The 25,685-nt window shown below is 40.8% G+C and overlaps 1 protein-coding gene across 21 annotated transcripts in view, besides 4 other annotated features; it reads left to right on the top strand.

The window, feature by feature from the left end:
- The window catches only part of NTRK2 (neurotrophic receptor tyrosine kinase 2), a 358,533-nt gene that overhangs the window by 175,059 nt on the left and 157,789 nt on the right, over window positions 1-25,685 (top strand). For 11 of the 21 annotated variants that reach the window (XM_017014751.3, XM_047423432.1, XM_005252001.4 and 8 more), the window contains 2 exons: window positions 17,460-17,507; window positions 23,663-23,851. In XM_017014751.3, the coding sequence (XP_016870240.1) occupies window positions 17,460-17,507; window positions 23,663-23,851 (237 nt within the window). The remainder of the gene's footprint in view (window positions 1-17,459; window positions 17,508-23,662; window positions 23,852-25,685) is intronic. The other 10 variants (XM_017014753.3, XM_017014752.2, XM_011518718.4 and 7 more) reach the window with 1 other exon arrangement.
- Window positions 8,203-8,749: an enhancer, noted in NCBI's record as "OCT4-NANOG-H3K27ac hESC enhancer chr9:87466698-87467244 (GRCh37/hg19 assembly coordinates)". NCBI's record gives its function as "activates a minimal SCP1, AML or CMV promoter by ChIP-STARR-seq in naive and primed H9 embryonic stem cells {active_cell/tissue: H9 hESC(naive and primed)}" and the evidence as "EXISTENCE:reporter gene assay evidence [ECO:0000049][PMID:30033119]".
- Window positions 8,203-9,425: a biological region, named in NCBI's record as "MED14-independent group 3 enhancer GRCh37_chr9:87466721-87467920".
- Window positions 8,226-9,425: an enhancer, noted in NCBI's record as "MED14-independent group 3 enhancer chr9:87466721-87467920 (GRCh37/hg19 assembly coordinates)". NCBI's record gives its function as "activates an origin of replication core promoter dependent on BRD2, BRD4, P300/CBP and CDK7 cofactors, and independent of MED14, by STARR-seq in HCT116 cells {active_cell/tissue: HCT116}" and the evidence as "EXISTENCE:reporter gene assay evidence [ECO:0000049][PMID:35650434]".
- Window positions 18,677-19,177: an enhancer, noted in NCBI's record as "OCT4-NANOG-H3K27ac hESC enhancer chr9:87477172-87477672 (GRCh37/hg19 assembly coordinates)". NCBI's record gives its function as "activates a minimal SCP1, AML or CMV promoter by ChIP-STARR-seq in primed H9 embryonic stem cells {active_cell/tissue: H9 hESC(primed)}" and the evidence as "EXISTENCE:reporter gene assay evidence [ECO:0000049][PMID:30033119]".

Consider the following 25,685-nt stretch of genomic DNA (forward strand, 5'->3'; position numbering starts at 1 on the left):
GTGTGGCTCTCCAAAGGTGGGTCACGTGCAGCTTGGCCCTGCCCTCAGTCAGAGAACTGTAGGGGGCACAAGTCAGGGAGTGTTGCAACGCCTCAGCCCTGTGCAGACCTGCTGTAGGGGTAGAGGCTTTATGCTATGCACTATGTAGAATAAAGAGTTGAAAAACTAGAAGCTTTCTTTTAAGGAGTTTACAATCTAGCTGAGGACATAGATGAGTAAACAGATTGTTATAATCCATGGCTATCAAGATCTGCAAACAGTTTTATGTGAGCAGACAGGAGAAACATTTAGCCCAGTCTGAAGTGGTCAGGAAGGCATCCTGAAAGAGCTGATTTTTGAGGGAAAAGGATTTTAAGGGGGAAGGATTGGCATTGACAAGACATAGAGGCAAGACACAGCACAATATGAACATTGAGCTACCAATCACTACTGCAGTTGCTAGGGTGTAAGAGGGGAGATACGAGAAGAAAGTTGGGGCCAAGGCCTAGGTGAGGAGTTTGGATTCTAAGGCAGTAATGTGAAGCCATTGATCCATTCTAAGTAACAATGAGGGGAGGAAGAGGATCCTAGTGGCAATTTAGAAAGGTCTTTTCAGCTGCAGCATGGCGGATGGACCAGAGGAGGGAAAGAGGGAGGCAAGAGGCTAGAATAGGCCATAGCTGCAGCTGCCTGAGAGCTGGAGAGGCCTGGGCCAGAGTGCTGGCTGCTGCCTTTTCAGCCAACCTTAGTCCAGCCATGGATGGTTCACTGTTTTGAATAAATTAATGGGCTTTATATTTATAAACATATTACAGACTCCTCCCACATTCAGAATAAGTCAGAGAATTTTTGTAAGGGGAGGGAGGTCAAATTTTTGTAAGGGGAGGGGAAAAATGACTCCCTATTCTTCTCTTGTTATATTTGCTGATGTTTCTGGGTAACTTTCATAAATCTGTGGTCTTTTCCTGCCCTTCTGTTATAAACAGCTGACATTTCTGAAGGGGAACTGAGAAGCACAGTAACTGTAAGAAGCTATAAAGTGTTAATCATGAGGGAAATGCAAATGAAAACTACAATGTAATACCTCACTCACACACACACACACACACACACACACACACACACACACACACACGGCTATCACTATTTGTTTCTATTTATTCGTGGCTATTGCTATTGGCTTCTATTCGTTTCTGCCCATTACAGAAAGGAAAGTCTTCTCAAAAATGGCTGTTATAATTTCTTGGGTTGAATAAACCCAAAGAGGAAGAGTAAATACTAAAGAATTCATCCATGTAACCAAAAAACACCTGTACTCCAAAAACTATTAAAATTTGAAAAAAAAAATACCACCTTGCTCCTCAAGAATGGCCATAATTTAAAAGTCAAAAAACAATAGATGTTGGTGTGGATGCGGTGAAAAAGGAACAACACTTTTACACTGCTGGTAGGAATGTAAACTAGTACAACCTCTATGAAAAACAGTATGGCGATTCTTTAAAGAACTAAAAGTAGAACTACCATTCGATCCAGCACTACCACTACCAGGTATCTGCCCAAAGGAAAAGAAGTTATTTGAAAAAGACACATGCATAGGCATGTTTATAACAGCAGAATTTGCAGTTGCAAAGATATGAAACCAGCCTAAGTGCCCATTGACCAATGAGTGGATAAAGAAAAATGTGGTGTATACACACACACACACACACACACACACACACACACGGCTATCACTATTTGTTTCTATTTATTTGTGGCTATTGCTATTGGCTTCTATTTGTTTCTGCCCATTACAGAAAGGAAAGTCTTCTCAAAAATGGCTGTTATAATTTCTTGGGTTGAATAAACCCAAAGAGGAAGAGTAAATACAGATGTCTCATTTCATACAATTCTCAGTTTAATTGAAAGACTTTAATCTTGCTAACTTCTGAATTTGACAACGCTTAATTGTGTAGATTCAAGCTTCCAAGCTCAAAGATTCTTGGCTAATGATAAGTATAAATATATGCCATGGAATACTACTCAGCCATAAAAACGAATGAAATGATGTCTTTTGCTGCAACTTGGATGGAACTGGAGGCCATTATTCTAAGTGAAGTAACATAGGAATGAAAAACCAAACACTATATATTCTCATGTATAAGTGGGAGCTAAGCCATGAGGATGCGAAAACATACAGAGTGATATAATAGACTGTGGGGACTTGGTGGGGTGTCAATTGAGAAGTGGGTGAGGGATAAAAGACAGCATATTGGGTACAGTGTACACTGCTTGGGTGATGGGTGCACTAAAATCTCGGCAATCCCCACTAAAGAATTCATCCATGTAACCAAAAAACACCTGTACTCCAAAAACTATTAAAATTTGAAAAAAAAAAAAGAAGCCATAAAGTGTTACAGAATGCTAAGGAATGTGCTTCTATTTGTTTCTGCCCATTACAGAAAGGGAACCCTTCCCAAAAATGGCTCTTATAATTTCTTGGGTTGAATAAGCCCAAGGACATAAATAGAGATATCTCATTTCATACAAGCCTCCATTTCATTGCAAGACTTTAATCTGGCTAACTTCCAAATTTGACAATGCTTAGTTGTGTGGATTCAAGCTTCCAAGCTCAAGGATTCTTGGCTAACAATAATTTATTTGGTTGGGTTAACAGTTAAACCTGATGTGAACATTTACCCTTTGAAAGTACATATTTTCGTATTATAGTTTCCAAAGGGATCTGAGAAATTGTCCTTCCTGGACAGACCTCTCATCGTCCCCTCCATGTGATCAATAGAATGCAGTTTTCCAAGCAAAAGCTATATTTCTAAATCATTTAAGAAGAAACAAGTGGAAATTTAATTTTAAGCTGGACACTATTTTTTCCTTTTACAGTCAGCTCATTTTTCATGATTCTTTATTTTTCCCACCAGCATCTTTCACGTTAGTGTTTTAAGGAAGGAGTGTTTTATTGCCAAAGTCTTCACAACATGAAGGCCTACAAGCAGTTATAAAGATTGGGCTTAGATGATGTATATTAAAAGTGATAAATCATTTTCCAGCCTTTCATTACATTTTGTTTTCTCTGGATCCTTACCTCCTCTGACTCATGTACCTGGGCTGATGAATGCCCGTCTCTCCAGTTACACTGTAATCCAGGGCCTGTGTTTCATTTGCCTGCCAATAGTGATAGCCAATAAATTAATCATGCAACCACACAAGCCTTGCCATGCAGGCTGCTGCCAGCGTAAAACTGCCCATCAAAAGCCTGCAACTCTGAATCTCCATTTATCTAGTACCCTCAAGACTCGCATCGTTCCCAGCAACTGGAGCTGCAAATGCTCATTTCTTCATAGGCATGGGCTGGGAAAATGAGAGAAGGCTAATTAATGCATTCAAGAGATCCTACTGAATCAGCAAGCCCCTTAAAGGCACAACAGACACAAACAGGCAGCTGCAGCTCCTTGGGATTCAAAACAACAACAAAAGAGCTAGTTAAATATTTGAATAGCTAAAGTATATGTCTATTCATTCCCATGGAAATTGCTAAAATAGGCTGTCCTCCCATCTCCAGAGGAGTCAAAGTCATTGAAATCCCAAAGCCTTTTATCCTGTCAAACATGCCTTTGAAGAGCAGGACATTTACATCTCCATAACAGGCCAATTCAACATTAGTGGTAATAAAACTTGGGTGCATGAAAGGACTCCAGAATGTGGTACCCATTCACTCTGGCCTCTGGGGATGCAGAAGTAACTTTTTGAAAATAAGACTACTATTGCCCAATCCCTGTGTTAGTTTGGCATTTTATAGTTGCAAATGGTTTGAACAATAGTGGAGATTTATTGTTTCACATAAATATACCATCCAGGAGTAAATACAAGCTTGTATGTGGCTTGATGCAAGGCCCAAACACTGTGGCCAGGATCCATCTTTTGGCTCTTTTCCATTTGGGTGGCTCAACTTGAAGACAAACATTTGTCTTATGGTTGCAGGACAGATGACTTTCATCCACTCTTGATGCTATATCCTCCAGATGCCCATCCAGCAGAAAAGAAAATTACGGCTTATGTCAACCTTCGAACACACATCATAGACTTCGTTTTGATCAGGCCAGCTTTATGGTCACATGCTCATCCTTGAACAAATCAGTGTGGGCAGGGATTGGAATTATGTTGATTTATTTATGTCTGAGCCATTGGTTCCACCTTGAATCACATAGGTTGCCTGGGAGTTGGGTGAATAACCAAAGGAAAATCATTACCAGTTGAGGAGGAGGAGGAGGAGGTGGATACTGGTTGGCAGTGAAAACAATAGACAAATAAACTATATTAGTCTGCTCAGGCTGCCATGACAAAAACAGACTGGGTGGCTTAAACAACAGACATTTATTTTCTCATAGTTCTGGAGGCTACAAGTCCATGATCAAGATGCTGGTTAGTTGGGTTCCTGGTGAGGGCTCTCTTCTTGGTTTGCCAATGGCCACCTTCTTGCTGTGTCCTCACATGGCCTTTTCTCTGTGGCTCCAGTAGAGAGGGGCAGAGAGAGAGAGAGAGAGAGAGAGAGAGAGAGCTCAAGCATATGCTCTGGTGTCCATTCTTATAAGGACCCCAGCCCTACTGGATTAGGGACCTACCCTTGTGAACTCATTTACCTTAATTACTTCCTTAAAGGCCCTATCTCCAAATATAGTCACACTGAAGATTTCAACATATGAATTCTATGTGCACACAATTTAGTCCCCAATACAAACAAAAATGATAATCCGCAGCTGTGCATCTCTGATTAATCCTGGTTTAGGTGTGATTTTATCCACTAGGAGTCCAGTTGTAGTTGTTTCTATGGAGTCTGAGAATAAATGTACCCAGGTAGCTTCAAATGTACACTGTGAAGATCACCTAGTTATGTACCCAATCATGTTGTTTCTATTTACCAACTATGAATTTAGGGACCAAGAAGATTCCTGGAGACTGACATTTAGTTACGATTCTAGAACTATGAAAAAATTTGACAATCATCAGGCAAGAGACCTTTATGGAACTCATCTTTCAGTAGTGCCTTTAATGAAAACTTATGAGATCCACAAGAAAGCCGGAAGTCTGAGACTATAGAATCAGACCCTCTGACGTTTTGAATTATGGTGATGTGGCCCAGCTTAATCACTCATGTATTCCAACATACCCGGCGCCAAATGATCTTTGAGCACGAAAAAAATCAAATTTTCTCTCCAATAATAAAGATTTGCATAATTGGTAAACTCTAGTACATTAATTCAAAGATAATTCCCCAAGGGGAGCTTTGAAAATATGGCAAAAATATGAGACATCATCTTTGGAATAAAGGTGTGGCCTTCTAAGGAGATGGCTTGTCAATATGAGTTAGAGTGACTTTTTATAAACTTCTTGCTTCCCTTTGTTGTAAACATTTATATATTACATATTGACATACACACCTACATATGCTTTAGAGACTACATATGTACTTTCTTAGGCATACATATTGGAGTCTTTTTATAAGATAAAAGGCCTATATTTTTATAGATGAGGCTGCTTTGCAATAAGATTCACTTGGAACTTCACTATTACAGAAAAAGATAACCCTTAAAACAGAAAAGATGATTTCTCCTCCTGCTGCACATACAACACAGTTTGGCAGGGGGGACTCTATTCATTTCAGTCTCTCAGGAACCCAGAACCTCATGATGCTGCCTTCTAAACACCAGGCTTCATAGTTCACTGTGGCAGGATGAAGAGGAAGCGAAAAACCCAGGACTGACTATTCAATTTTCTGCCTAGAAGTGCTGGGTCATTTCTGCTTACTTTTTCATTGGCAAAAGCAAGCACCATGGATCGGTGGGTGGGGGAGTCCAATTATCTTCTGGGCAAGGAAGGAGAGGCAAGAAGAGCAACATCTAACGTAATCATGGATCCGTGCTATACCAAATTTGGTTCTCAATTGAAGAATGCAATGGTGAAAAGTTGCAATCCATCCAAGATTTATTCATTTATTCATTCAGCTCTTTAGTATCTACAATGAACCAGGCACTGTACTCAATGCTAGAAATACAGTGGGGAGACAAGACAGAAATATGTATTGCTTTTAAAGAACTTACAGTTTAGGAGGAGGTTACAAGTAAGTAGATAGCTAAAAATTCAGAGTGGGATGGAACTATGACAGAGAAAGAACAGGGTGCCTTGGAAATACAGAGAATGGGAGACACGACTAATGAATGTTCCTACGGTTGTCTATCTCTGAGCTTTACAATTCAGTCTCTACTATTTTGTGGGCATTTTATGTCCTATTTATAAAACCTTTCAATTAGAAATTGAGACATCTATTGAGTACCTACCATGTGGGAAGTGCCCTGCTTGATGCTGTTGTATCTTATGAAGCTTGCGGAAGAGAGTACGGAGTTGAATAAGACACTTTTCTTTTTCCCACACAGAGTGCTTAAAATCTAATAGGAGAAATAAGATTACATAAATAATGAATGCAGTGCAGAATGTGGTGTTTATCATAAGAGACAAAAAGCCCAAATGTCAATGGAGGTATTTCTGATTTGGGGAATAAATAAATGCTTCATGATAAGAGTAACTTTTAATGTGAATTTTGTTGAATAAATGAGTTTAATGGTCAAAGACAAAGCATGGGGGTTACATGTCTGGTGGGGAAAAAAAAAACAAAAAAACAAAAACAAAACATCAAACGCAAAGACACCAAATCTGAAAGCTGCCTATAGGCAGAGAATGTGATTATTTTATTCTACTCTCATTACATCCCCAGCATTTATCACACTGTCTTGCATCCATCAGGTGATCAATGAATAGTTTTCGAATGAATTAATAGGAAAATTTGAGGCATCTTTATTAAAGGTATGCAAACTAATAGTTTAACTGGAATCTTAAGGTGAAATTAAGGTGATAAAGCTGGAGCCAGGTCATGGGGCCAGGTAAAGATTTTGAATGTTATTGAAGAGTTTGGACCTTATTATTCCCTTACCCCTATATTTACATAAACCATTATGTTCACCAAAGCTCACATGACCTCAAGACGGTCCAATCAGGTGGTCAGGACAGTAATTATTGCCCCACCCAATAGAGAGGAACTCAGAGACAGACTAAGTAATTATGGAGGTTATGTCAGGAAATAACGAATCTAAGACTCAACACCCAAGGTAGTGCAAACTCTGTTTCTGTTCCTTTGTACTGCATTACCCCTCTGTTCTGAGGCAGAAACGCCCTTTTGGTGTTGGGAGCAGTAGAAAGAAATGACGCTGTCAGAGCTGTTTCTAAGATAAACTGGGAGAGAAAGGGGCTGGCAGCCAGGTCACTAGGGAGGAGAACATTAAAATAATGTGGGAGAAGACCAAACTGCTGTAGTGACCATGAGCATAGGCAGGCTAGGATTTCTTTTTAGCAGGGATAAAAGGTTTTAGCATAAATTCTACCCTTGTTGGTCAATACCTAGGTCAGGGTTTCGCAATCTCAGTACTGTTGACATTTGGGGCCTTGAATTCATTGTTGTGGAGACTGTCCTATGCATTGTCCCTGACCTCTGCCTGTTAGATGCTCCTAGCACACACTCTCCACCCACCCCACCATTGTGACAGCCCCAAAATATCCCCCTGGCCAAATTTCCCCTGGGAGGCAAAAATCGCCCCCGTTTGAGAACCACTGACCTAGGCAATCAATTTTGATTAGTTTCCAGAAAATCAGTGGACCCTAAAGAGCACATTGGGCATTTAGTGGGAAAACATCAAGGAAAGAAATGCAGTCTCATCTGATGGGTTTAGTTTCCTTCCACTGACAGTGTGCATGATGGCCCATAGTTAATTCGTTTGACCAGCATTGCATTTTAAATAATGGGTTTTCATTTTGTCCTATTTATGGTCATTTTATCCAATTATTTTTATTCAGCACCCAGCTTTATAAGTGTGTATAATCCTGTTATGTTCTATTCCATTATGGGAACTTCCTAACAGAAGAGTACACAGTAATACAATTAAATAAACATTTTGGCTATTGTGTTGGCCTCACACATTTCCTGACTTTGGCTGGATTCGAATGTGGTTATGGGATGGGAAGGGAGACAATGGGTCACTAAAAAGAAAGACAAAGGTGCTGAAAGGTGACATGAAACAGGTCACCATGGTTCCCAGATTGGTGGGAAGAATTCAGGTACCACTTAAAATGGAAAATATCCTGTAATGAGAATGGAGCTAAAAACCTTACCATTTTCTTCCTCCCTTCAAAATTCCATAATACAATGGCAAAAAGTTTCCTGTGCGGTGCTTTGCATGAGCTACAACAAATGTTGGTCTAGAAGGACTAAAAAAAGAATTTGCATGTTTTATATATGTGAATATAAATAATGTAAGTATAAATATGAATATAACTATAAATACGTAGCAGAAATTGCAAAGGCGTTTCTAAACACATTTAATGTGGTAACAAAGCTTATGCAAGAAAGAATGGAGAGCACGGCCTTCCTTCACGCTGGGCTCACTTGGTGACTGGGCATAATGGACAGGTCTGGGCAAGTCAGCCAAGACGTGAGTCATTGTTTAGGTTTTCCTTGGAAACAAAAGCTCCTGGGAATTTGACATCAAGTGTTTGCCAGACTCTGCGGACTTGTTAGTCTCCTGCAGGGCCACTAACATCGCTTCTAAGATGATTCCCTGAGAATCAGCCAGCTTCCTCCGCAAAGACTTGCCCTGAGTGCTAACCAGCATGGCTTTGCAGAGAGAAGGGAATTTGGGACATGTCTCAGGGAGTCATTCATCCAACATTAAGACAGTGTTAACAGGGAAATTGTGTGTGTGTGCAACCAGACATCACCTGCCTTCCCTGCAGGGAGCTTCGACAGCTGAGAAAATGTTTATAAAGCATTTTGAGCTCTCACTGGGGTGGTACTGTAGAAAGGCAAATCTTTGATATGACTTTCTCACGTCTGTCAACTCTTATTATTAAGCAGAGGTTGCCCCTGCCTTTCTCAAAGTTCCAATCATGGAAACTAATTATTAGGAGTTGCAGGTTCCATTTTTCACCTACCCAGTGAAGATTGTGACCACCTCTGTTAAAGAAAAAATCTTTCTGGAATCTACAAGAGATGTAAAAAACTCAGTGTTGTATGTAGTTTAATTGGGAATGAATAAAATGTAGACTCACTAAACTGCTTTTGAAATAGTCCACATGTACAAAACAAAAGAGAGAAATAGTTGGCAAGTTTCTTCTCAAAACTAAATGTTTGAAATATGTGATCAAGACAGCTTGCTATGTTCCAGGCAAGTCTAATTTCATCTATTCCCACTTGAGGCTTCTGAACTTTATGGGATGTAAGGCTTTTATTTTTAAAATGCTGCAACAGAAGCTGATTAATTTTCAAATTAAAGCAATATCTGACCTCTAGTAAGTTTCCTGGCATATAGCAAGCATTCAATAAATACTGTTTTTTTTTTTTAATTGCTTTTGCAGAGCACTGGCCTTTTCTCTTAAGATGAGGATATAGTGGCCCCAAAGCCTCTGAGTATTATTTAGCAGGAGAAAATCTAGGCCGGTTGACTGAGTGCTTTTCCTTATATTGCACATGATCTCACATTCCCAAAATACCCAGGCTCAGGAAAGCTATATAAGGCCATGTGTCAATCTTCTCAGTCATATATGCCTAATGTTTAGTCCTATAGACTTTGAGAACTTGAATAGGCCTCAGATGCCATTTCTCAAATTTTCTTTTATGGAGTAGGAAACAGAGTCCATGAAGGGGGAAGTGGCTCACTCAAGGTCATGCCGTTCACTTCTGGCAGTGTCTAGAGAGGGCCCACATCTTCTGACATTCTAGTCCAGCTCTTTATTCCACACTACTGCCTGGAGTGCTGGATTCTAAGAATTGCTCAGCTTTAAATACTGTCTTCAGTCATGTTCCATTGGAGAGCCACAAATCAGGAGAGTAGCAAATATATTTGCAAAATACATAATGGTTTTTATGTTGTATGTATAATTTGCATATTGGCATTTTCATTACATTTGCTATATTTAATATTGTTACGCTTTTTCAAAATTGTTGTTCTCATCCATTCCACAAGTGTTTATTGAGTGTTTATGCAAAGCATTGGAGATAGTGGTAAATTACACAGACAAGATCCCTGTAGCAAATGCTGTTGGCGTCACCCCCTGCCCGTGTCCTCTCAGCTCTCACCACCCCAGCACTTGACTGCAGAGTCTTGCTGCAACCACTCATGACTCTGCATAAGGACCTTCTCTGGTCTGGGGGTGGTGGCTCATGCCTATAATTCCAGCACTTTGGGAGGCCAAGGTGGGTGGATCATGAGGTCAGGAGATCAAGACCATCCTGGCTAACACGGTAAAACCTCGTCTCTACTAAAAATACAAAAATTAGCCAGGTGTGGTGGCACATGCCTGTAGTCCTAGCTACTGGGGAGGCTGAGGCAGGAGAATTGCTGGAGGCAGAGGTTGCAGTGAGCTGAGATCGCACCACTGCACTCCAGCCTGGGCAACAGAGTGAGACTCTGTCTCAAAAAAAAAAAAAGAAAAGAAAAGAAAAAAGAAAAAAAAAAGAAACAAACAAAAAAAGGAGCTTCTCTTAGCTGGAAGCCTTCAGTCAATGACAGGTGGGAGTTGGAGGGTAAATGACCCAGCTTCCTCAGCTTTGGGATGGGATAACTCTAAGGTTCATTCTACTCCATCACTCCAAGTTCCCCAGGCATTTGAACTCCAGTTGTCCACAGTGTAACCCACTGGATAATGTATCCATTACAGACTTCCTACCTCTTTTTGTTTCACTTCTTGACTACTCCTTTTGTGCTTCCTGGGATCTCTTCTTAGTAAACTACTTTTGCTTGAATCCTTAGTCAGGGTCTGTTTCTAGGGGAGCTGGTCTAAGTCGCTGGCTTCTTGAGGCTCAAATTCTAGAAAAGGATGCAGATAATAAACAACAAATCAATAAAAAAGGTCACATATGGGTACCTATTGAAAAGAATGAGATGATAGAGAGTGGAAAGGGGTTCAGAGAAATTCTGATTGAAGTGTGAAGTTGGGGTCCCTCTGATAGTGTGATATTTGACCTGAAACCTGAAAAACAAGAAGTAGTTATAAAAAAAGAGCCTGAGGGCCGGGCGCGGTGGCTCACGACTGTAATCCCAGCACTTTAAGAGGCCGAGGCTGGCGGATCACTTGAGGTCAGGAGTTCAAGACCAGCCTGGCCAACATGGTGAAACCCCATCTCTACTAAAAATACAAAAATTAGCCGGGCATGATGGCATGTGCCTGTAATCCCAGCTACTCTAGAGGCTGAGGCAGGAGAATTGCTTAAACCCAGGAGGCAGAAATTACAGTGGGCTGAGATTGCACCACTGCACTCCAGCCTGGCCAACAGAGCGAGACTCCGTCTCAAAAAAAAAAAAAAAAAAAAAAAAAAAAGCTTGAGAAGAAGATTCTGGGAAGAGGCATGAAAAAATGCAAAGTGAGCAGGAATAGGAAAGAGAACACTGGGCTGTTTCATGGGGAATGAGGCAGGGAGGGGGAAGACCGAGTAGGTTGGCCTTGTCATGAGAGACTCTGTAGTAAGGATCAGAAGTTTATACTAAATGCAAGGAGAAACCGTTGGAGGATGTTAAGCAGGTGAATGCAATAATCTGATTTATACTTGAAAATGGTTACTCTGGCAGCTCATGGGAAACAGATTGGGGGAGGAAAGAATGAAGCAGTGAGCTAAGTTAGAAGGCTACTGAAGAAATCTAGGTGAGAGATGATGGATGCTTTTCAGTTTCCAGACTCAACTGTTGATAGAGAACAGAAGTAAATAGAATACAAACACAGAGGACATACATGTTTATGTCTTCGTCTCTGTGGGTATTTATATGTATTGAAGTGGTTCTTAGCATTTGGGGGTGAGAACTCTTTGAAAATCTGATGAAATCTGTGGATCTCCTCTCCAGGAAAATGCAAATGTGCACCGACACACAATTTTAAATTTGTGCTGACAGGTTGGGAAGTCATGGAGTCAGTTAATAAAACCTCAAGCATATTTTTTTTTTTTTTTTTGTCTACATCTGTTAGTAGGGATAGGCTCTCTATAATGGTAAGTAAGTGCCAAAGTGGATCACAGTTCAAACACATATTTTTGTTTATGGATAAGAATTGAAGGAAAGATAGCTCAGCATCATTGGCCCTCTGGTAGAAAGACTCTGAGATGCATTCTACTCTGTCTACGCCCACATAACAATACCAAGAGAATTCGTTGTTCCTTGAAATTGCCCTGTGCTATCTTCAAGCCATAACTTCCAAGCTTGCCCTAGGTGTTATCTTAATTCTGGCCAGGTAGAAGGGAGTACACAGAGGAAGTCTTAATAGGCAAGGCCTGGAAGTGGGACCCATTGCTCTGCTCCCCTTCATTGACTAGAATTTAGCCATCTGGCCACAACTAACCACAAGGGAAGCTGGGAAATATCGTGTAGCTATTAGCCCAGCAGGGTGGGGAAAAAGGGAAATACGAATTTCAGAGAACAGTTAGGAGGTTCAGCCAAATACACACATTTTTCTTTATATTTGTCACATAGGAGTTGCTCAGTGTTACATTTTTAGAGACCAGTGGAAATACCTCACATTGTAAGTTTGATGAAGGACAAGGGATGGAGCCAAGTGAAAGTTGGTCAGGAGGATACAATACCCTTTGTGTCATGATTTCCAGAACCAGTTTAACTCAAAGCAAGCTCTCTTCCTACACTGTGGAGATGGGGCTTTCTTTTATTAAGGATATGTCCTTAAGTAAAAGATTAAGATCAAATTGAAGTGGAAACTTGGCCCCAAACTACACTGTTCTGTGCCCGGAGGGACTGGAATTAATTTGAAGCAAACTATTACTCACCCCGATTATGTGCCAGTAGGAAAGGGAGATGATGATACTGTCAACAAGGCGAACTTTTGCATTCATTTTTTCTCACTCCAATGAGCAGTCATTCTAGATCTCAGATGTGACAGTTCATTGGCTACTCAGGCAAGCACTTGGCCTGTCTACTCTGGACTCAACTCTGGTCCATTCTCTCCCTGAAGCAAAGCAGCCCGGGGACTCCTCTTTCAAATGTCCTTTAGGGAGTGGGTGTGGGCCTAAGAAGTTGGAGGTGAAGTCCATTTTTATTAGTAAATCATATTTTACCGTTTGATTCCATATTCCATGACAATGGTAAAGTCATTTTTCTTGGGGATGGAGGGTGGTGAGTCTTACCTTAAAACATAAAGAAATTACATTTGAGAACATGGCAAATTTTAATTTCTTCAGCGTTAAAAGAGAGGAAAGCTGATTTTCTCTTAACATAGTAAAATGATTTTTCTGAAACTTAAAAATATCCAGAAGCTGTTCTCTCTTGAGATCAGAACCTTTCTAAGCCTCATATTTAATGTTTGCTCAATTCAGTACCTACAGGGAAGGTCAGGTTTCTTCCACGTTGCCTGTTCCCAGCTCCTTCCTCTGATTCTCTCATTTACATCATAAATCTTCCTTTTCAACCCCCTATGTTTTAGCTCTTTCCTTTAAGAGAAATTTGAAAAAGTGTTTTTTTTTTGCCATTTATTTTATTTAATTTGAATTCCATCTTAGAGTTGTTAATGTGTTTACATGCTATTTTTTCCTACATTCCTTCTCTCCGGTCAGGGAAAATGTTGAGCTTTCTTCAACATGAGATGGATTTAATTGGTTAATTTCATAATTTAGAGTCTTTCTTGGTCTACATTCCAAAAGGAGGGGATTCTTTAAGCTCAGTACAGCTACATTTACTTTTGAAGGAGCCCTTTATTTTGCAGTGAATAAAGTGTCTCTTATTAAACAGAAAATAAAAGAAGGTTTGGCAGGACTCTACTCCCCATGGATGAAACATCACAGGAAATTGAGAAATTGTTTCTTTTTGGCCTTGTGGGAAAATTTTGCTTGTGAAATTTAGTGTTAAAGTTTTAAGACGACTGCTTAAATCCATCAAGAAAGAGCTGTTGAATGAATAACAGCTTCTAGGGAAGAGGTGCCAACCTGACCTTTCTATATCTGGTCTTTTAAGTGTTTGAGGAAGTGTGCGGTATGATCAAGAAGATTGTATTCTCTCCTACATAATGACTGAGTTAATTTTAAACAGAACTTAGACATAGTTCATCAATTTAAGAATAATTTTGTCAAAAGTTGGCCTCAGCTGGGTGCTCCTTCATTTGTGCCTATAAGACAGGGCATTGTACAGGCCCAAATGAGAAACGAATCCTAGGTAGAGAGTCCAGTTTCCATTCTCAGATTGATCTATGGGCTCTAGAATTTTGATACGAAGCCTGTGTCTTGAGCTTCAGACCATCCTGCCAACTGAGGGTGTTGCCTTCCATTTTCTTCACATAGGCACCTTGTTTGAAATTTGTGGCTAAAACCCATGTTCTTGGTTTGACTCCTAAATCTGTTTTCCTTCTAAGTTCCTTAGGGACTCTGTGGGCAGCATAACCACATACTTAGTTGTCCAAATCTGAAACCTTCATTGTTTTCTCTCCACACTCCCCTCAATTTGCAATCAGTCACCAAGTTCTGCTACTGTCCCTAAATATGCCTGCAGTCATCTCCTTTCTTTCACCTTCCCCTTCCCCAATACCCAGTTCAGGCCACAATTCTCTCATGCCTTGATTTCTCTAAAAACCTCCTTAACCAATCTCTTGCCTTAATTTTTTTCCTCCCATAATCCTGATTTCACCCTGCAGCCAAAATGATTTCTCTAAAATTAATCTTTACAATGTTACTTCCTGGCCTGAGTGTTTTTTTTGTTTGTTTGTTTGTTGTTTTTTTGCCTAACTGTGCGATTTTCACTATAATATCCAAACTCTTGACTTGGCCCTTACTTGTACTTCCCATTTCCCTCCCCCAACCCCCCTTCCAGCTGCATCAGCCTCTGGACACATTCAGCACTTCTCACCTTAGCCAGAGCTGTATTCTGAGTGCAGTCAGTGTTCCTTCCTCTGCTCTTTCCCATTCTTGGCTAATTCTAATCTATTTTCTAGAAATCCTCTGAGCCCTCTTTCTCGAGCCGCCTCCCAACCCTCCGTTGGAATAGAGGCTTCTTTTCTGTGCTCACACACCCTGGACTGACTTCTTGGATGGCTCATCCTCCACCGAGAGCTTCTCAAGTGCCGCTTTGCAGCTCATTTCTCTTTGAAGACTGTTCTGCCTGATAAATAAATAAATGAGAATGAATAACTACTTAGTGTTTTTCTATATTTAAAATTGAATCCTAATTATACTGTTTTAAAATTCAGTTAATTTTGGTGATTTTGGAGCATGGGAAATGCAACTAAAAAAGAATGAAAAAAAAACCCACTATGATTTGACATCAGAAGATATGAATCCTGGCTCAGTGACCACGAGCTGAAAGATTTGCTAAGTGTATCAGCCTCCCTGAATCTCAGTTCCTCGTCAATAAGCATAGGATAATTTCTCATGTAAACAAAGGTTGGCTGAGGACCAAGGAAGAAGTGCCCGGTGGGTAGGTGGAGGCACTCAGTGAACTATAATGACTTCACAAGTGAGAGGAATTCTTATTTGCTTTGTATCTGCAATTCTCATTGTACCTGTGCAAAACTCCAGCTTGGGAGAAGCGGGGTGTGAATGGTTTCATGGGGCACACGATGGGAGGGGAATATTTGTGAGGTCTCTTCCCAGTTAGGTGGAGCCACACCAATGGTGGGGAATTCAGCAATTCCTGTAAGGGGAAATTGGAAATTGTGCGTCTTTAGTTTTCCCGTTGGGTAGAGCTCAAAAACACACTTCTACCCTCTCAAATACTGTTGGTGAAAGTGAGACCTGGCATAGTGTTGTAGCAATTTGATAACCTGTATTGAGAACCTTCACAATATTCATTCCTTTTGAATGAGTAATTCAATTTCTAGAATTTATCTAAGGGAATTATTTTTAACAAGAGAAGGGGAGCACTTAAGGTGTGTAAAGATGTTCATTGCAGTTGTTTATTATAGTTAATGATCAAAAATAATCTGAAATGTGCAATCAGTGAGGGACCATGATCACATTGCCCTTCAGTGAGTTCTCTAAAATGGGAATGTAACATTGAAAAACATCTTAAGTGAAAAAAACAGGCTTAAAAAATTCAATCTATGGTTTAATTAAAAGTGTTTAAATCAAACAAATTTAAGAAAACAAAAGATGACCAGTGGGAAAATACACTTTGTTTTAAATGGGGTTAGTTGTAACTAAGAAATCCATAGGCAGGACTCTGCCTCCCTAGACTAACAGCTCCAATGACTGAAGTTCACTGTCTTCTGTGCAAAGGAATCTTTATTTGGCTTTGGCTCAAGGCTAGGCCTTCATCTCATCTTCTAAAACCTAGAAGGAAGCTTTCAGAGGAAAATATAGATCAGAAGTAAAATTCGGATTAGAAGTTGGGGGGCTGAAGTTGTAGGATACGAGGGAGGGAAAGCCTACCTTTACCCTTGAACAATCATCATGACAACAACCTCCTAAGTCATCTTGAGTGTGCAAAGTGCTTTTCTGTACATTGTTCATTTAAATTGATTCCTCTTCAGTTTAGCTAGCTAATTATCCAAAATGTCTGTAAAAATTATGACAGAGGAGGGAAACACAGTTACTGATTTGGGGTCCATTCCCTTTACCCTTCTCATATTCAGGTATTTCCCCACTGTGCAGAATTCACTTTGAATCCAGCGGAAATTACCTAGGAGGAAAGAGCTGGGCTCAGGAAGGAAGCAGACATTTCACTGTGGCTTTATTCACGGGAGGCTCTCCAGACGTTTGGCAGGTCTTTTCTTACATGTGCCTACTGGACCTTGTGTTCTAAGAGGCACAGAACAGCTGTACACAGCCCAGTGTCACACAGCAAGTCAGGAGCGAGAATCCATGTAGAATTAAGATCTTTTTTTCCCTCCCTCCTGAATCTCTATCTAGCCCGTGTCTACTCTCCCACGGGATTTTGTGTTGCTTTTTTTACCGTCTGTCTCAGCTTCAAAAAGGATCTGTTTTCTCTTATTATTTTCCCACATTGCTGCGGTTCAGAACCGTAGTGCATTTGTCAAATGCATTGTGTGTGTCTTCACCCCTGCAGCTTCCCTGTCAGATGATTCAATACAAGGCAATGATCTCTCCACTAAGGGGGAAGAAAGAAAGTGAGAAAGAAAGAAAACAGCTCAGAGCCCTTAACCCTGGGTTGTGGCTATTTTTCTCATAGACAGGCTGCTCTCTCTTATCTGATTGGAGCCTCCGTGTTCTCTGAATAGGAAATAAATCTCTACACAAAAATCCAAGGGTTAGTTTCCAGGTGTTTGATAGGAAGCTTTCATCCCAAGTGGTTTGTTTATTTATTTATTTATTTATTTATTTATTTATTTATTTATTTTTGTCGGGGGGAGTTTGTTGCATTATTTGACCAAGGACAGTGTTGACCACCTCCGGTTTCTACTTCTCTTTCGAAGTTTATTTTATGTTTTGTTGTGGTTTTCAGATTTCTCATGGTTTGGATTTGGGAAAGTAAAATCAAGACAAGGTGTTGGTAAGTAGTTAACTCACTCCTTCTTTGGATAAGTAATGAGTCTATGTTTTTATTCGGATGAAAATGCTTAGACCCTCTTTACATTCCACGGTCTTTGATTCATTTTCTGTGTTCCTGGTTTTTGATTTGTTGAAGAAGTAGGTCTAGAATTTTTCCAGAAAAGGCATTACTGTTGTTAATTGAGTTTAGTACATGGTTTTACATTTTTAGATTTGACTCGTTTTTATCCTGTGGGGGAAGTGTTAACTGTCGTTCCAGTTCTAGTTTGTGATGCATTTTTAAGAAGGTTAAGGAAATAAATACAACTACATTTCAGCTACATGTACAGGGAATAGCTGACTGAATAGTCAAGCTGGACAAGTTTAGGTCTTAACTTTCTTCCATTGGCCAAGATGTAATAGAGTTCTGAATTGGTAAATCAGTTTCCATTTATGACCATTCCTCTTTCAAAACAGATTCTAACGTCCAGACGCTGTGATTTCTGCTTGATTGCATTCTATTCCCTGCATTCAGACTATGTGCTGACAATTGAAAAGCAGTTTGTAGCTTACCAAGTGAATGCAGATGATGTAGCTCCTCATTAGAATTGAAATCAGGTGTGATCTCTTGGGACCTCTAATTTGTTCAGAATTTTCTATGGGTACAGAGACAATGAACAGGAATTGCTTAGAAGGCATGAAAAGACGGCATTCTTACATCTTTCATGTGGGTTTCCAAGATCCGACCATCTTGGGCATCTGTTGGTTAGTTATTCTTTTGGTAGCAAGGTTGGCCATAGGTAAAATGGCAAAGTAGGGGAAATGTACCAATGTCAGGAGGCTGCTCAATTCCAAACCATCCACCCTATGCTTGTTCATCCTGGCCATATAAGGAGCTGTTTCCTGTCACTTTCCATCCTGACGTCAGACCTTGTCTTGTTGGGCAGTCTCTATCACTGTCTGTCCAGTGATCCAAAAATGACCAGCCGGCTGAGGCAGCCTGGCCAGATGGGGCCTGGAGGGGGAAAAGTCACCTTGACTCTCGCTAGCTCCATGGATTCCAAGGTTAAAGTTCTTAACCAGCAAAGGGGAAGTGGAGACTTGGCAAAGTTAGAACATGAAGCTCAAGTAGTCAGGGCTTCTAGGCAGCTCCCTAGGGGCAAATTTCAGACACAGCTGATCATAGTCACTTTGCCAAGATATCAGAGGGATGATCCTGCCTGGGCAGTCTTAAAGGTGTTCTGTTTTACGGGTTTGATGTGTATGCGTGCGTAGGTGTATCCCGTGTGTTTTTGGGGAAGGTGGTAATAAACTCTCCCATGACAGTCCTATAAGACAGGGTCTTGCTTCTGCTAAATAGCAAGTCATTGCAACCACTTAAATATTTTTCCAAGCCAATTTGCACTGCAGAAGGGTGCTTGTTCCCGGAAAGCTGCAAAAATGTGGTTTTACTGTTTTAGGCCACAGCAGAGAGCTCTTCAGAATTATTCTTCCGGCTGCAGTCCAGCAGAGGTGCTGCTCTTATAAAACATAGGTTTCATTATTTTTCAAGTTTGGTGAGACCAACAATTTAGGAGATGATTGCCATTGAGAAGATAGTGTGTCACTCGTGGTTCCCAAAAGAAAGGGGCACACCATGGCATGCAGAGCCACGTGGGGAAGTGCTGGGATCCATTAAAAGGCAGAGGAGGGAAGGGAGAACTTGGGCAGGAGCTTTTAGTGTGTTTCCAGGTAAGGAACTGGGGAGGGAGGGTAAACAGGTTTAGGACTGGCTAGTCTGAGTAACTTCAACAGGCTCTAGGGTACAGGAGCTATCTAGAGTTGTCAAGTACTTGGCCCTGGGGTGGGGAGGGCAGGTGGATAGTGGCCTAGAGTGTGAGCCTCACATCTGGAAGGTGGTTGGGGTGTTGTCTCTGGATTGGTTGGTTTGCATTTGAAAGGCATGCTCCCAGGCAGGGTATTTACCATCTGTAGGAACTGACTCACCAGGGGTGGGAGGGGCCATTCCTCCAGGATTAGCACGGCCCCAGATGTCAAAGCACCAGAATCCAGAATATAAAAAGGCTTGCTTAGTACAGCTGCTCAAGAGTACTAACCCTTCCCCTCACCTTGAAGGCACTGTTGGTATTGAGAGAAGAAAACTCCCCCAGATGAACTTCGTGATTCTTATCACAGGAAATTAAGTCTACATTAGGCTTAGAAATGTCTGTAAAGTCATAGTACAGGATGTGTGACCAAGCAGACATATTAAAATAAAAATGGGCTAAAAATGTTTCCAGACTTAACTCATGTTTTTCAGCTGAGTAATTAGAACTATTTACCCTAAATCAGCCAAGTGTGCACCTACCTCGCCATTTAAAACTTTATATGAATATTATAATACATTTTTTCAAGTCCTCATATGAATTTCGTTTAACACACGGTGATGTGCCCCTTTATTCTTCTGTCTTTTTCATGGTGCCTGCTCAAACACATGCATAGACATACAAAGACACATCCTGTGATATGCACAGACAGGCTGCTGTCAAATTATGTAGACATTCATTGTCCCGCTGAGAGCTTCTTCTGCCTTCTCAACTTTGCTGTGCTTTGCATTCCATTATATCAAAATGTTCACAGAAAAATGGGCTTAAACCCTGCAACCTTGCCAGCCATATCAATCTTCTAGGTTTTGGAACATCAATAATGAAGAAAACAGCACTTGAATTAATATCCCCCTTGATGAATTGTTGAGGTTTATGTGTTACTCACATTTGTCAACAGTGATTTTTCTGGCAAAGTGAAAAGGCTTTTGAAAAATTACCTGTGGTGCTTTTTACTGCTTCTACGCTTAATCCTCCCCTCGCTCCCCAAACAAGAGCTCATTCCCTTGCAATCTGTTACATTGGAGTTGGGGGGTTTAATTGGAGAGGTTTAGGAAAGGAAAGGGTATCCCTTAGTGAGGAAGGAGAAGCAGAGAGCAAATCACTTGGTTGGACTCTTTAAGTGAGGGCTTCGCTGTGTACTTGGCAGAAGATTCAAAGTCTGAATTTGGGAATCTCAAGTTGTCTTCTAGGTATCAGCCTCCTCAAAAATGATTGAATGCTGCTCTGATGTTCATGAACTTCAGAGCATCCTGGGCCAGGGGAGAGTCAGAGAAGAAAGCAACTGGGGTCAATGCATTTCTAATGGTTCCAGGGGCTCCAGAAGGAAATATTGCTGGATCTCTGACAGCACGTGGAGTCTTTTAAAATGAAACTCCTGTACAAAGGCATAAGAATGATACCAAGGACTTCCGGGACTGTGGGGAAAGGGTGGGAGGGGGGTGAGGGATAAAAGGCTACACATTGGGTACGGTGTTGCTGCTTGGGTGATGAATGCACCAAAATCTCAGAAACCACTAAAGAACATATTCATGTAACCAAACATCACCTGTTCCCCAAACAACTATTGAAATAAAAAGAAATTTTAAGAAAAAGAAACTCCTGCATTTCTGGGGGTAAAGGTGGTGCCTGGAATCTACTGAGAAACATGCAGCCTTGGCTGCAGTCCTTCAGGGAGCGCAGGCAGTAGCATGTTTTAGTAATCTTGCAGGAGGGAACAGCCATGCCGGGAACCAAGGAAGGGAGTCAGTGGTGAGAAGGTTTTGTTGACAAGATGCGGAAACCTTAGCATAACACATCTTAATTTTCTTTTTTTTTTTTTTTTTTTTTTGAAACTGAGTCTCACTCTGTCACCCAGGCTGGAGTGCAGTGGTGTGATCTCAGCTCACCACAACTTCTGCCTCCCAGGTTCAAGTGATTCTCCTGTTTCAGCCCCCCGAGTAGTTGGGATTACAGGTGCACGCCACCACACCTGGCTAATTTTTGGACTTCTAGTTGAGACAGGGTTTCACCATGGCGGCCAGGCTGGTCTCAAACTCCTAACCTCGTGATCTGCCTGCCTCGGCCTCCCAAAGTGCTGGGATTACAGATGTGAGCCACCATGCCCGGCCAACACATCTTCATTTTTAATTGATGGCCAGAAGCTGGATGATCTAGGCCTGTCAGGGAGCAAGTAGCAGAACAGGGATGATTAGGAGTATTGGAAAGAACTTGTCTTTGTAGTTATTCTTGGCAGGATTTCTGCTGTATCCTAATGCAGGTGAACTAGGCACAAGACGAACACAACTGATGGGTTTGCCTTTGCTTTTGAGTGTTCTGTGGCTTCTAAATTGGCTGTGTGAGGACTTGTTTGCAGAATTGAGCCGGAGCGCATCATTAAAGGCAGCTTCAATGCACATCCCCTTGAGAGAATGCTTCAAAAATTACCTATAATAAGAGTTGGCTGTCTCCTGCATAGTTTGTTTAAGACACTGCTTAGCTGGGGAATGTCCAACTGTTATCACTACAAACTGTGATAATCTCCATATGAGGGGGAAAAATGGATCTTGGAGGTTGGGGGATGAGATATTATTATATTTCATAGGGGATTCAAGACTGGATGACAAAACAACTTTTGTTTTCAGAATTGCTGTGCTTCTCACTAAAATAGTTAAGTGTGAGGGAAAAGGTAAAGGATGGAAGTGCTGAAACATGCATTTAGTAGGGGGGGTTGGAAGAAAGCACATTTCCTTGCGTAGGAAGTAGCAATTCAGACATTTCCCTGGCATGGCATTTGCCTTGGCTGGGCATTTGATTCTGCCTTTTCACTCCCTATTGTCTTTTCTCTTTATTCTTTCTCTGGGCTTGTGCCAGTAGTCGGGTCAGTGGTCTGCTTCCATGGGACCCTGCCTGTGTAATACATATCTTGTGCACCTCCCACGTAGACAGTGCCTGTCATGAGCCACTGCCGTCTTCGTTGGTTTGAAGCTTTCACGTAGACCTTTATCTTTGTGCATCTAATTTTGGTTGCAAACAGTATGAGTTTAGTGGCTAATGGGTAAATTGTTTAGACAAGATACAGTAGACTGTATGTGTGAGCATATACATTCTGAGACTTTGGGCTAGAAAATTTGTCTTGTACAAAAAATGCTATGATTATTAATTTAGTATAAAGACACCAAGTTATGACTATAAATAGTATTACAGCTAACAACAAAGCAGGTAACTTTGCCATGGGATTGATCCATTATTGTTATAAAAGTATTTTGTAGACAAAAGTGGTGCAGATACTCACAGAATATGAAGAAAGAGGAATGTAGTCATAGGACAGTCAAATGTATATCTGGTCTACCAGTTAAAGTTCATTTAGTAATACCTAGTATTAATACATACTCATGAAGCATATTTAAATTTATAATACATTTTCCTGTTACTAATCTCGTTCTAGTGTCATAAAATAAGCAAATATTATTTTGCATATAAGTCGATGTAGAGGTCCAAAGAAAGTAAGTGACTTGTCCAAAGGGTAGAGAAAGGAAACTCAGATCCTGAAATTCCCAGAACAACTTTCAATGCTCTGTGAAATAGGGATCCCAGATTCATGTTGACAGTTTCAATGACAGAGTGTTCTAGAGACAATCATAGAACAGAGAGGAAAGCTACGTATTATCTTACAGGAGAAGGAAGTGAAGAAATTGGAGCTCTCATACACTGCTGGTGGGAATATAAAATGGTGCAGCCACTTTGGAAAACAGTTTGGCAGTTCCTCAAAATGTTAAATATAGAGCTACCATATGACCCAGTAATTCCACCCAAGAGAAATTAAAACACGTGTCCACATAAAAATTCGTATATGAATGTTCATAGTAGCATTATTCATAATAGCCAAAAAGCCAGAACAACCCAAATGTCCACCAACAGATGAATGGATAAATAACATGCAACATATCCACACAATGGAGTATTATTAGGCAATACAAAGAAAGGAAGTACTAATACATACTACAATGTGGATGAATCTTAAAAACATGATGTTAAGTGAAGGAAGCCAGTTACAAAAGACCACGTGTTATATGGTTCCATTCATATGAAATGCCAGAGAGATAGAGTGTAAATCTGTGAATGTCTACGGCTGAAAGTGGAGAGAATGGGGAGTGAGTGCTAACTGGGTGATGAAAATGTCCTACAAGTAGATTATAGTGATTATTGTACTACTCTGTGAATATACTAAAACCCACTGAATTGTATACTTTAAATGGGTAAATTTTATGTATGTGAATTACAGCTCAATAAAGCCATTGATTACAGGAGAATATATATATTTTTCCATCTCCAGGCCCAGCCTCCGTTATCAGCAATGATGATGACTCTGCCAGCCCACTCCATCACATCTCCAATGGGAGTAACACTCCATCTTCTTCGGAAGGTGGCCCAGATGCTGTCATTATTGGAATGACCAAGATCCCTGTCATTGAAAATCCCCAGTACTTTGGCATCACCAACAGTCAGCTCAAGCCAGACACATGTAAGTACAGCTGTTTGTACTTATTGTCCCATTTGCTGCATAGCTGTATCAACCAGAGTGTTTATCAGAGCCCCTGATAGGGATGACTGGCGGGGAACAGGGTGCAGTGAAATGTTTGAGGATTCTTGCAGCTTTTGGCCCAGGAATAGATCCTTTAGTTTGTTGCTTATGGAATTCTCCGGGTGTGTCTCCTGCTGGGAAGGGAACTGTGGGCAGATACTGACTCTCTTGGGATCTATTTTCCAAAACCATTTGTCAATGTGAAGTTGGAATCAAGGCATGCTTATCTTGAAAAAGAGAGACAGAAACCAGAAGTGTCATTTGAATGCACATATATCAGTTATAGATGACAAGCAATGAATGTAATTTAAATTTAGCCTATAGAAAGTAATTGAAATATGCACTCTAGGTAGTTGGGAAGGCACTGTGTTGCCCACAGGTGGTATCAGTTTGGGGAGTCCTGTATTCTTTGCTCAGTCCGAGTTCCCAGCATGAGGCCTTGTTGTGTTGCCACAATAGCAAAGAGACATGGCAGCAGATGATTTGCATATTAAGTACACTTACTTTCATTTTTCAAAAACAAATTAACCCATTAATCTCTGTTAGCAAGCTTGAGATTTTTCTAAGGGCCTTTTGTGCTATCTTCTGCACCACTGCTCCAATATTAAATGTGTAGCACAGCCTTAAAGACAACAAAAAATAAACCCACAGTGGACAAACAGGCTTATGGCATTGCTTCCAGGCCTTCCTTCATATGTGAATAAGGGGCCGTGAGGGCTATGATGTCAGATCCCAGAGATTCCCTGCCACTAAGGAGTGGGTATCATGCATGTTCCTATCCTGTCTTAAATACCATTCTCCTACCTTGTCATAGAGGTAAGGTAGAGGATTACTGCAAGATTAGGCTTTGGGGGCTGCCTCTCTGTTGAGAGCTTTCATGGGATGAAGGGCCTTAGCAATGAGTATCAGATCTGTGCATATATAAGGAAATATCTGTAACTTCATCCTATTCACTCAAATTTATCCCAAGGCATGTTTAAGGTTGGATATGAGTTTAAATGTTAGGAAGAACAGTATTATGAGCTTTTAATGTGTGAGACTGGAATCCACCAGAGATTTTGGTTGACTCTGTAACATGACAAGATAAATAGAATAATGTGTGAAGAATATTGAGCTCCTTGAAATAAAAGGTATTAGTTGAAATTAAGGTATTATTAATCTTAATACTGTCATTGTGGTGTGAACAAGGTGAGTAGAGGCATTGCTTAAAATGTGCCTTCTTTGATGGGGTGAGCCTCCTCCAAAGATCCTTGGAATGCCCTGTACACAGAACTGTCAAATAAGGAGTAAGACTAAGCAGGATACTGTGATGGGAGCATCTGTCATCATTTTGATTGTTCTCCCTAGGAATAGAGTACTTTGACATTGACACCTCAGTCACCACCCGAACCAGGCCTATGATGCATTTCAATTAGCCTGAGGCTGTAGTATAATTGAGGCTGATAAAATCAACATACCCTCAAAAAGTTGCTTTCCTTTGTGGAGGGAGGAAAGATAAAGCTGCATAATTAAGTAGACCCGATCAGCCCAACAAGTCCAGTAAGAGAAATCGAACAAACGAGCAAGAGAGCAAACAAACAAAATAACAAATGAGATCCTCTAGTCAAAAGTGGGCTACATGTCTGGAAGTGCTTTCTTCCCTTAGAAATTCAGAAAGAAAGATTTCAAAGGTTATTTCCTTAATCTGGAGTCTGTGGAGATTTTTTGCAAAGGTTTGGGTTCCTTTTGGAGCAGTCTTGATTGTGTGGCTCAGTCATTCTGTGCCTCCTGTCAG

Source organism: Homo sapiens, chromosome 9 (genome assembly GCF_000001405.40).
Source record: "Homo sapiens chromosome 9, GRCh38.p14 Primary Assembly".
Lineage (NCBI taxonomy): Eukaryota > Metazoa > Chordata > Mammalia > Primates > Hominidae > Homo > Homo sapiens.